General features: G+C 45.2%; 1 protein-coding gene across 3 annotated transcripts, besides 1 other annotated feature; it reads right to left on the reverse strand.

The window, feature by feature from the left end:
• Nucleotides 1-2801: 2801 nt before the first annotated feature.
• Nucleotides 2802-11279, reverse strand: IQCF1 (IQ motif containing F1). Of its 3 annotated transcripts, NM_152397.3 has the most exons (4): nt 11196-11279; nt 10911-11015; nt 4758-4820; nt 2802-3262 (listed from the first exon to the last, which is right to left on the reverse strand). In NM_152397.3, exons 1-4 carry the CDS (start codon nt 11196-11198, stop codon nt 2816-2818), a joined length of 618 nt encoding a protein of 205 aa, NP_689610.2. In that variant the 5' UTR covers nt 11199-11279; the 3' UTR covers nt 2802-2815. The 3 variants fall into 3 exon arrangements, with proteins under 3 accessions (NP_689610.2, XP_016861218.1, XP_011531668.1); XM_017005729.1 differs by lacking the exons at nt 10911-11015; nt 11196-11279 and adding an exon at nt 10716-10750; XM_011533366.2 differs by lacking the exons at nt 10911-11015; nt 11196-11279 and adding an exon at nt 5248-5271.
• Nucleotides 9837-11036: an enhancer, noted in NCBI's record as "P300/CBP strongly-dependent group 1 enhancer chr3:51935927-51937126 (GRCh37/hg19 assembly coordinates)". NCBI's record gives its function as "activates an origin of replication core promoter dependent on BRD2, BRD4, P300/CBP, MED14 and CDK7 cofactors, with strong dependence on P300/CBP, by STARR-seq in HCT116 cells {active_cell/tissue: HCT116}" and the evidence as "EXISTENCE:reporter gene assay evidence [ECO:0000049][PMID:35650434]".
• Nucleotides 11280-11823: the final 544 nt, after the last annotated feature.

Genomic DNA, 11823 nt, shown 5'->3' on the forward strand with positions numbered 1-11823 from the left:
GACAGAGGAGGAAAGCATTGTTCTAGGAGGGACCAGTATGGAACCCAGGCAGTGGGAGGAGGAGTTCACACAGGGATGTAAGTCCATACCAGTAATAGCGTCATATTGGGCAGGATGAGAAGGGCATCCTTGGTGGCATAGACCATCAGAACTTGAGCACAGTGAGGAGGATATCCACGCAGAGGGTAGCCTGACATTTTGTGTCAGCTCAGGTTGGGTGAAAGAGCATTTACCCCAGTCGTCAGACCAATGTAGGGAGCCACAGCCTGAGCCACAAGAAGAGGACAATAGACGGCATCGTATATCAGAGATCAAGAGAAATGGGCCATTGTCTCTGTGAGAGAGGGGCCAGCAGTAGCTGTGCAGAATTAGTTGCACAAAGGGAAGATCAAATAAGAAAATGTATTAAAGATCATGGGAGCTAGGGGTGTCATTCTCAGAAAAGAAGAGGTAGAAATATGGAAAGGAGGCCGGGCACAGTGGCTCACACCTGTAATCCCAACACTTGGAGGCCGAGATGGGTGGATCACTTGAGGTCAGGAGTTCACGACCAGCCCAGCCAACATGGCAAAACCCTGTCTTTACTAAAAATACAAAAATTAGCCAGTCGTTGTGGTGGCCGCCTATAATCCCAGCTACTCGGGAGGCTGAGGCAGGAGAATTGCTTGAACCAGGGAGGCGGAGGTTGCAGTGAGCCGAGATTGTGCCAGTGCATTCCAGCCTGGGCAACAAAGCCAGACTCCATCTCAAAAAGGAAAGAAAAGAAAAGAAATATGGAAAGGAGAAAACTAGAGTGAATTCTTAAATTTGGGATTGGAGGTATCAGTGTGAGCTCACAGATTTCCATATAGATAGGCACAGAAATGAACACAGATATAAATGTGCGATGCTTGTGCATATACACAAACATGTATTTCCTGGCTCTGTCCACTGAGGAGGCCTGGGAGTGGGAGTACCTCAACAATGATGAGCATGCCTCCATATGCTCTGCTGGGCCACTCCAGCTGACCCCAGAATTGGCTGCTTTTTCCATGGCTACCAGTATTTAAGGCTTGTTTGTGACCCCTTTCCTTGTTTTGATGCTGATGCAGAATTATTTTTTAGCTTTATTGAGGTATAATTAACAAAGTTAAATACAATGTAGGTGTACAAACTTGATGTTTTGAAGATGCTAGTTTTTATGGTGCTTGACTGTTTACCCTGGAAGGTGGGGAAGGTTAGCACCAGTTCACAGCTCAGGACACTGGTCTCAGAGAGGGGAAATCACTTGTCTATGGCCACAGGGCAATGAGAGGTGGAGCAGTCAGAGGTCAGAGCTCTGTGCCCTGATACTCTGAACACAGGACAACAGGGGCAAGGAGAAAGACAAGAATCCTTCAGAGTGGGTATGAGAGACCCAGGCCCTGAATGAGACACAAGGGGCAGGACATGGCAGGACAGAGCAGGAAATACAGAGCTCATGCTCGAGAGCTAGAGCCTGAGACTTCTGGGCAGCATCTCAGAACATCTATGAGCTGAGGGACCAGCTCTCCAGGGCACAGTCACTGAAGCAGGGCTGGACATAGGGCTGTGACCCAGACCTCAGAATCCTCCCTCTGTGCAGGGAACCACAGGACAGGGACAGCAGTGTTGACAGGCAGATGTTCAGCCTAATCTTAACCTCTTTTTTTGTTGTTATTAATTTTTTAATTTATAATTGACAATAATTATACATAATTATGGGGTACAATGTTATATTTCAATGCATGTATATATACTATAATGACCAAATTGGGATATTTACCATATCCATCACTTTAAACATTTATCATTTCTTTGTAGTGACAACATTCAAAATCTTTTTTTAAGTATCTAGAAATATATACTACATTGTTACCTGCTAAATGGCAAACAGGTATATGAAAAATTGTTCAACATCAGTAATCATCAGAGTAATGCAAATCTTCACCTCTTATTTGGCCCTTATCATCACCTGGGCCCCAACCCCACCCCAGCTGGCAGCATTTCACAGGGAGGGACTTTCAGAGGAGCCAGCTCTGCCTGGATTGGCCCTTGCAGAAGTTGGGCCAGTGGGGAGGGTAAGGAACACAAAACTAATGCCTCCTCAGCTCCTGCAGCTGTGATAGCCTGAGGTCTAACACTCACCAGAGGGTTGGGTTGGCAGCAAAATGCCCTCTCTCCCACCCCCTTGCCTGTGGAACCTCCCATACCAGCCTGGTCTGGAGGAAAATGAGTCCTAGTTTTCATACGGGGCTCGAGGGCAAGGGACAGTTGGGGTTTGGGGTTAGGATGAGGACTTGAGTTATGCTAACAGCTTCCAGTTTGGGTCTCAGATTCTTAGAAGCCAAGTATAAGGACATAGCCCCCAGTGCAGCAGGGAGACAAGATCACAGGGCTTGGGGTTGGGGGGCTCCTCTCAGTCCTAGGGGTTGGGGAACAAGCCCTGAGCAACTAGACCCAGACGAGTGAATTCCTGGAGAATGTGTTGCCATTGCCATGACCACCACCCGCCAGGCTTCCATTATACCAAGTCCTAGGGAGGGTGCACTATGTACACAGAATGATGTAAATACGAATGATGCTCCATGGAGTTGGCCAATTGACTGGTCTGTACCCCCAACTTTCCTTCCTACGGCACACATTGCTAATCAATCACAGTCTCTGCTCAGTCTAGAAAAGAGGCTCAGAGTCCTGCTCCACATGAGGCCTCAGACAAGCCCTGCCCATTCCTCAGAGCTGGTATATCAAATGCCAGGTATCTGCCATCCATTGCTCTGACCTGAAGCTTGTCAGAGACTATCTGGAAAAGACCACTTCATTCCTTTATTGAGAAGGGAATACACTCTGTCACAATGCAAGGCCCTGAGTCCAGCAAGATCTCCAGCTGGAGATGCAGCTGGTTGGCTGTGACTCTGTACTGGCCCTTGATGAACCCCCGGGAAGCACAGGAGCGGCACCTCCAGTAAGCCTGGATGATGCGAACAGCATTGAGCACCTGGCAATAGCGTCTGCGGATGCGCCACATGCGGGCCTGGGACTGCAGTGTGACTGCTGCCCACTCCTTCCGGGAGAAGGCCTCTAGCGCTGCCTGCCGCCTCTTCTTCAGAATCTTGGACAGTATCAGCCGCCACCAGCACTGAATGATGCAGGCACTGAGGGCTGCGTGCAACAGTGCCCGACGCACCAGGGTGCCCCGCCACCAGGCCTGGATCTTGGTGGCTACCGTATCTTTGTCAGAGAGCTTCTTTTGGTTTTCTGGGGGCTTTCAAGAAAAAAAGAGGGACCTTCAGAGAATGCTCCCCACTGGCTTCAGCTCTGGGGTGTGCCAGGAAAGGCCCTGATTCCCTATCAGCAACTGTCTCTTTTTCTGGAATTCAGGAGCACTGGGCAGGGCACTGGCTGGAACCAGAAGATCAGGTAGATGTCCTGCCTCTGCCATCCTCTGGTTGATAGCCACAAGCACAACAACTTGCCCCTGGGTCTCAGTGTCCTCCCCATCTTGGGGCACACCTGCCCTGGCTACCTCACCCAGTTTTCCATGGACCTTGTTGACCAGCAAGAACACTGTGATATAGGGTCAAAGGGTTACCATGTTCCACCCAGGCCTGATCCTTTCTTTCAGACCCCTTCCACCTACTGGAGAAGTCACATCCTTTGCCGGCCCTGCCTTCTCATCCCTGACAACCGTTCATAGCCACAGCCTGTTCTCTCCCTCTGTCATGTCTGAAGACTAAACCCTGATTTTTTCTATGTTGCCCAAATTCCTATCTAAGGGGTCTGGGGAGTCATGCCCCACAAATCATAACTTCTCATCAGATGGGTTTTATTTAACCCTATATATTGTGACTGATTTTCAAACCTGACCCTGGCATAACATTACCAGACAAGGAAGAAAAATATTTTATCCCAAAACATGTTTCTCTGCCATATTTTGAAATGGCCCTGCAAAGCTGTTCTTTGTGGAGGAAAATTTGCATCTGAGTCTCTATTAACATAGCTAGATCTTTTTCTTCCAGACCCTCTCAATCCTAAAGAGATTAACTAACATCTGAATAGGAAACATTTGTCCTCTGTTGTCTCTAAGGGGAGACACTACAAGACTTCAAAAGAACTTTGGTCTCCACAATCTTTTATCTTAACCCAAATGTTCCCTTTCTATGAATCTCAGGTCTTTAGACAAACTCAACCAATTGTCAGTCAAAAGATGTATAAATTCACCTGTAGCCTGGAAACACTGCCCTCTCCCCAGCCACCACTACGAGTTTTCCCACCTTTCTGGACCAAACCAATGTATTTCTTAAATGTATTTGATTGATGTCCCATACCTCTCTAATTTGTATGAAACCAAGCTGTGCCTGGACCACCTTGGGCACATGTTCTCAGGACTTCCTGAGGGCTGTGTCATGGACCATGGTCACTCATACTTGGCTCAGAATAAATCTCTTCAAATATTTTGCAGAGTTCAACTCTTTTTTCTTTCCGTCAACATGTCATAGTATTAAAAGTTCCTCCACCCCAAAGTTCAAACTTACATCTCTTCCCTATCATCATTTTTCTTAACTTTCACATTTTAAATCTTAATTTACAAGCACATATACATGCACAAGCTCAAACACGCGCGCACACACACACACACACGCACACACACACACACATACTTCTAACTGAGCCCAGCTTCCCATATCATGGTCATTCCATTCCACCAGCACAGCCCCCACATCCCCAGCCCCAGCCCTGTGTGGTTTGGGAGGTCATACTTTTTCTGATTTCTCATTGGCATTGTCCACTGTCTGTGTCTCAACCAGAACTGGAGTTTTAGCCTGAAAAGGAAATGGGGAAAGAGAACAGACAAGATTGAGTTGTTTATTTCTCTTCTTAGCCCAGCACTGTTAGATATGAGTTCTAAATTTCTCTTCAAAGAATCAGTATGTCAGTATGTTCAATTCTTTGCCTTCTACTTTTAAACTTAACTTCCTCATAAAGCAAGATTTTTCGATTACCGGCTCCACCCTGACTCATTCCCATTACCTGCTCAGTCTCCACCCTGACTCATTCCGATTTCCTGCTCTGCCATAACCATTTTTCCTGCCAAACCTCTCACCCCATCACTCTCTTTAAATTAGCTGATCAGAATTAGTTTAGCCTGTGCGGTCTAACCCTAGCCAATAGGGGAACGACACAGCAGCAGGGGCCACGGGCATCAGGGATAAGAACCCCTTCCCCTCCCTTGTCCAAGTGTGCACTCACCATTGCTCCGTCTGAAAGGGCGCACCCTTCTATAGAAGTGCATTGCCTTGCTAAGAATTAAAATTTATATTTGAGTGCTATTTCTTTTGCGGCACCGAAGCTTTACTTATAACAATTTGGGGGCTCGCCTGTGATTACATTCCCCTCCGGGGGTGGTCTCTGGTTCTCCAACGTGAGGAGGCATGCCCCACCCCCTTGTGGCAGCCTCAGGGGTGAAAAATCAGGACCCACCCAGTGTGAGGAATAACGCAACGCGAGCTCTCAGCAACGCGGAAAGAAACTGGCCAGCAACCTAGCTTAAAGGATCCTCACATACTGCGGCAACAACTCTGTGCACAGACCAAGGAAGGAGAAGCTGTGGGAGCCGATAAAGTACTTCCTTGGTGGTCAAATTCTGGAGGGCTAAATGTGTGTGCGTGAATGATCACAAACAACCCTATTTGCAGTGTTGTTCGTGTGGACAGTGACGAGTCCTACTGCTCGACGGAGTGAGTGGGTCCTCTCTGCAGTTCTGTAGCTACCTCTTACACTTAGGGCGGATCCTGCCATGGGATTTATACCAGCACGCCAACACTAAGGCAAGACACCCCCTGGTTTGAGGGGTTGAGCCTTCCGGGGCAGGCAAGGCGAGACGTCCCTGCTTTGAGGGGTCGAGCCTTCTACAAATTTCAGGGGGTTGAACCTCACACAAACCTCCAGTAGTAAGAAAAATATTCAGAACACCCCTTTCCTTTCTTCTTGAGGGAAGAAAGAGTAGCTCCACTCCCAACGGTACCTCCCCTAGGGGAAGGGGAAGGAGAGGGAAGAACAATAGTATAAGCGGCTGGCAGAGGCAGGGAAAGACCAGCAAAGAGGAAAGAGAAACTGGGAGAGGAAGTCAGAGAGAAACACAGTCAAAGAGAGAGAGAAAGAGACAGAAAGACAAAGAGGGAGTCAGAGAGAGAGAGAGAGAGAGATGGAAGTAGTAAAGAGAAAATAGTGTATCCTCTTCCTTTAAAAGTCAGGGTAAATTTAAAACCTATAATTCATAATTGAAGGTCTTCTCCGGGACCCTATAACAGTCCAATACCACCTTGTTGTCAGTGTAAACAAGGGCGTAGCCCGAAAGCACTGAGGCCACTGACAACCCGTAGCCTTCATAACAAAAAAATCCTTAATCCAGTAACCTGAGGGTGGCCCAAAGGCATTCAATCTGTAATGGCAACTGCTTTGCTAACAGAAGAAAGTAGAAAAATAAGTTTTAGAGGAAACCTCACTGTGAACACACCTCCTCAGGTCAGAACTATCCTAAGTCAAAAAAAAAAAAAGCAAAAAGGTAGCTTACTGACTCAAGAAACTTGAAGTATGAGGCTATTCTGTTAGAAAAAGATGATTTAACATTAACCACTGAAAATTCCCTTAACCCAGGTTTCCTAACTGGGGATCTAAATCTTAATTACCATACAAAGGTCCAACCAGACCTACGAGGAGCTCCCTTCAGGACAGGATGATAGATGGTTCCTCCCGGGTGATTGAGGGAAAAAGACACAATGGGTATTCAGTAAGTGATAAGGAAACTCTTGTAGAAGCAGAGTTAGGAAAATTGCTCAAACCTGCAAGCTGTTTTGCACTCAGCAAAGCCTTAAAGTACTTACAGAATCAGGAAGGAGCCGTCTATACCAATTCTAAGTTAATATGGACTGAACAGATCTTATTAATAGCAAAGAATAATTGAAATCCCAAACTTACAAGGTTTTCAACAAAAGTAAAGTTGGCTGAAAGTTAACAGTGTAACATGTATTATCCTAACTTCTAATCTTGTGGCCTTAGACAGTCTAGTCCACAGGCATGAAGGAAGTTCACATTGGAAAAGAATGGTTATCATCTTCGAGGAAAAAAAAGGGGGTGGGGGGAGAATTTATGTAAAAAGGGATATTATATGGTAAATTCTTGTCCTAAAATAAATTAACTGGTTGTTTAAAGAAAGGGGTGTTTGCAACAAGTCAGAAAATTGAGGCATGTTGAAGAATTATCTGTGAAAGTCATGAAAAAAAAGTTTTAAAAGGGAATTTATGCAAGAAGTGTTGTATAATTTAAAAGTAATTAGGCCTCCTGAATGTAAAACTATTGAAGAAACAGTTTATGTGCAAGGTGTGTAAGGAAAGTAAAATATACCTTTGGTAAAAGGATTATAAGGAGGCATAAGAATGTGGATTTTTACCTACATTAAAAGGTTAAAAATTTTTTTTGTTTTAAAGGTTTAAGCAAGTTTTGAAACATTAATTGTAAAGGAAGTTCTGTGTGTAAACATATTGGCTAAAGTTAAAGGGGTATCATCCAGTTTTTCTGTGAACTGGACATTAAAATAAAAGCACAACAGGTTTTTCTTAAAGCATTAACCTGCTCTTTAACAAAAATTATAAAAGGTTAAAAACAGTCTATAAAATTCTTACCTTATGGTCAGACATCAAAAATTGGATAAATATGTCTACAAGGTTTTATTAAAATTAAGTTTAACATTAATAACACACTTAATATAAAGGTGAAATTTAGCTTATCTGGTATAAAAATCATACAGGAAGCTTGTCAAATATAAAATGGTGTTTGGCTTTCTTTGGTCTAAAAACTAATAAAAATAGGTGCTAAAGGAAATTTCTCAGTAAGAAGGCACCAAGGACAATAAAGTCCACTGCTGATGTCCCCACATTTAAAACAAAAGGTCAGTTTCTTAGAAATCATATACTCGGTTTATCTTCCACTTTCCTTTCCCTCAAAACTAAAAGTCTTTTAGCACAGGTACCACCCCTAGAATTTCCGGTAAACCAGCACCAGCCTGAAGATCACATTCTCATCAAAGGGTGGAAAGAAGGAAAACTGCAGCCAGCCTGGCAAGGACTCTACCCTGTGCTGCTAACCACCGAGACTGCTGTTGTACAGCGGAAAGGGGATGGACTCACCACACCTGAGTCAAGAAAGCGCCACCCCTTCCAGAGTCACGGGCCATAGTCCCAGGGGAAAACCCTATCAAACTAAAGCTAAGAAGAATTTAACTCTCTTTCATCTATTCTATTACTCTTTCTTCTTTCCTCGCTCTATTGCTGACCATCTAGTTATTAACATAACCAAGTCAATTTCACTTCAAACTATTGCATTTGATGCTTGCCTTGTTATACCCTGTGGGGACTTGCCAAGTCAAAGACAGCTCTCTACTTCAGAAAAGTACCTCTGTCCCTCCTGACTCTCCTCAGACTGGGTATTAGTGAATTGGGACCATTTAATCCTGGGAGATTTTGATAAAGACCCCAGTGTCAACCAGGAGTCTTGCCCCGCGATGTAGAGCTTTTATACCATAGTTGGTCCAGGGTTCTGTGGACCACTAAAGAGCAAGGATGGACTGCCCCAACCGGTTTTTGTAATTTCCTAAAACCATACATTCATCTTACTAGAGGGACAGCCCCCGCCTCCCACTAACTGTCAGCTAAACCAGTGCAATCCTATACAGGTTATTACCTTGAATCCTCAAAGTTCTTTCCCTTTTCTAAGCCAGTTCCCTTCTTTAAGCCAGTGTTATGGTATGGGGGCTGAGGTTTCAGGGACAGACCCTATTGGATTCTTTGAAATGCATTTCTTTGAACCCCCACCGCCTGCACCTTCCTCTAAGCCTTCTTCCAAAACCTCTCACATGGAACAATTGCTCCTCCTCCATCTAACAACAAGACCAAGATAGCTATCGTAGAAGCGAAAGACTTAAAACAAACTTTGGCAATTAAGACAGGATACCAAGATGCAAATGTCTGGTTGGAATGGATCAAATATTCCGTCCGCACATTAAACAAAAGCAATTGTTATGCTTGTGCACCCAGCAGGCCAGGGGCCCAGAATGTCCCCTTTCCACTAGGGTGGTCCTCCAGTTGACTGGTTGTGGGCTGCATGGTAGCTCTTTTCCAGGATTCTACAGCCTGGAGTAACAAGTCGTGCCATGCTCTTTCTCTCTGCTATATTCTGAAGTCTGGCACCCTGTGGGTCGGCCCCCGAGGGTCATCCAGCTTCCATCTCCCAATACTAAGTTCACTTCATGTCTCTCACGACAGGGAGGAAACTTAGCATTCCTTGGAGACCTGAACGGATGCAGTGAGCTTAAGAATTTTCAAGAGCTTATCAATCAGTCAGCCCTTGTTCATCCCCGAGGGGATGTGTGGTGGTATTGTGGTGGACCTTTACTGGACGCTCTGATGAATATCTGAAGTGGCACTTGTGTTTTAGTCCAATTGGCTATCCCTTTCACCCTGGCATTTCATCAACCAGAGGAAGGAAAAATAAGACATCGTAAAGTGAGAGAAGCCCCTTATGGGTCTTTTGACTCTCACATCTATTTAAATGCAATTGGAGTCTAGCAGGGAATACCAGATCAATTTAAAGCCTAAAATCAAATAGCTGCAGGATTTGAGTCAATATTTTGTTGAGAGACAATTAATAAAAATATAGATTGAATAAACTACATATGCTACAACCAACAGCGATTTATTAACTACACTAGAGATGGTGTTAAAGGAATAGCTGAGCAATTAGGGGCTACTAGCCGGATGGCTTGGGAAAATAGGATAGGCTTAGACATGATAATAGCAGAAAGAGGAGGAGTTTGCCTCATGATTAAAACTCAATGTTGTACCTTCATCCCAAACAACACTGCCCCTGATGGAAGTATAACAAAGGCATTGCAAGGTCTGACTGCCCTGTCCAATGAGTTAGCCAACAACTCAGGGTTAAATGAGCCCTTTACAGGATGGCTAGAAAAGTGGTTCAGTAAATGGAAAAGAATTATAGCCTCAATTCTCACTTCCCTGGCAGCCGCAATGGGTGTATTTATTCTTGTTGGGTGCTGTGTCACACCATGCGTCCGTGGGTTGGTGCAAAGAGGCTCATAAAAACAGCACTTACTAAAACCTCCCTTAACTATTCTCCACCTTATCCAGAGAAGCTTCTTCTTTTGGAAAATCAAGCAGAACATCTAAGCCAAGACATGTTAAAGAAGTTTAAAGAGAAAGAGCTGTAAGGAAATGCAAGAGGAGAAGTTGTTAGGTATGAGTTCTAAATTTCTCTTCAAAGAATCAGTATGTCAATATGTTCAATTCTTTGCCTTCTACTTTTAAACTTAACTTCCTTGTAAAGCAACCTTTTTCAATTACCTGCTCCGCCCTGACTCATTCTGATTACCTACTCCCCCCTGACTCATTCCGATTACCGGCTCCACCCTGACTCATTCCAATTACCTGCTCAGTCTCCACCCTGACTCATTCCGATTTCCTGCTCCGCGGTAACCATTTTTCCCACCAAACCACTCACCCCATCACTCTCTTTAAATTAGCCAATCAGAATTAGTTTAGCCTGTGTGGTCTAACCCTAGCCAATAGGGGAATGACACAGCAGCAGGGGCCACGTGCATCAGGGATAAGAACCCCTTCCCCTCCCTTGTCCAAGTGTGCACTCACCATTGCTCCATCTGTAAGGGCGCACCCTTCTATAGAAGTACCTTGCCTTGCTGAGAATTAAAAAGAAAATTTTATATTTGAGTGCTATTTCTTTTGCGGCACAGAAACTTCACTTATAACAGCACCATGCAAAAGACACTAGCTACTAGCACTAGGACATGGGATCAATGACATCCAAGTCAGGGCTCCTCCTACCTCTGCCTTTGACTCTGCTCCTAAGGACAAATGGGTTGGCATCTCCTTCTGCTGAGGCTCATCTTCTTTTGAGGGTTCCTTCGTCTTTTGGGGCTGCTTCTCCTCCTGCAATCAGCATTAGGGGAAAGGCAAGAGTGAGGCTGCGGTCCCTCCCTCTCCATTCAATATGGCACACATCCCCAGCTTCCAGGGCTTCTTAGAGTCTTCAGTGTCAGGGGGTCCCTTCACCCTGAGAGATCTATGGGGACATCCCTAACAAGCCTGGTGTGTCTGGCTTTCTCTTACCATTGGTCACATATGGATTGATTGTAGATGGTTCAAATCCCCTCACATCTGTGTTCATCCAGCCATAGCATAGGCAGGAAGGGTGGAGGAAGAAAGGCCTGTGATGTCATAAGGGCACCTGTGACTCAGGCACCAGATGGCTCCTAACAAGTGAGCCCCCTCCAAGGGAAAGACAAAAGCGCTGCCCATTCTTTTCTGCCAGAAATGGCCAAAGCCCTGACTTCAAAGGCAAGATGCCAGAAATACTGGCCCATTGCTGTAAGGTTTATAAAAAGCCAGTCATTTCTAATAACATTTAATTGAAAAAACTTGGCCAGGCGCAGTGGCTCAGGCCTGTAATCCCAGCACTTTGGGAGGCCGAGGCAGGCAGATCAACTGAGGTCAGGAGTTCGAGACCAGCCTGGCCAACATGGCAAAACCTTGTCCCTACTAAAATTACAAAAATTAGCTGGGTGTGGTGGCTGTCACCTGTAATCCCAGCTACTCAGGAGGCTGAGACAGGAGAATCGCTTGCACCCAGGAGGTGGAGTTTGCAGTGAGCCAGGATCATGCCACTGCACTCCAGGCTGGGCAAGAGAGCAAGACTCCATCTCAAAAAAAAAAAAAAAAGAAAAGAAAAAACTTATAT

The sequence above is a fragment of the Homo sapiens genome, chromosome 3 (assembly GCF_000001405.40).
Source record: "Homo sapiens chromosome 3, GRCh38.p14 Primary Assembly".
NCBI classification, from domain to species: Eukaryota; Metazoa; Chordata; class Mammalia; order Primates; family Hominidae; genus Homo; species Homo sapiens.

Excerpts from the sequence above, each read along its gene's own strand:
- IQCF1 (NM_152397.3), bottom strand. Across the intron at positions 4,821-10,910 it reads GAGCAGAGTCAAAGGCAGAG|GCTAAAACTCCAGTTCTGGT; the intron begins GTAGGAGGAGCC and ends TTTCCTTTTCAG. Across the intron at positions 3,263-4,757 it reads CCAATGAGAAATCAGAAAAA|CCCCCAGAAAACCAAAAGAA; the intron begins GTATGACCTCCC and ends TTTTCTTGAAAG.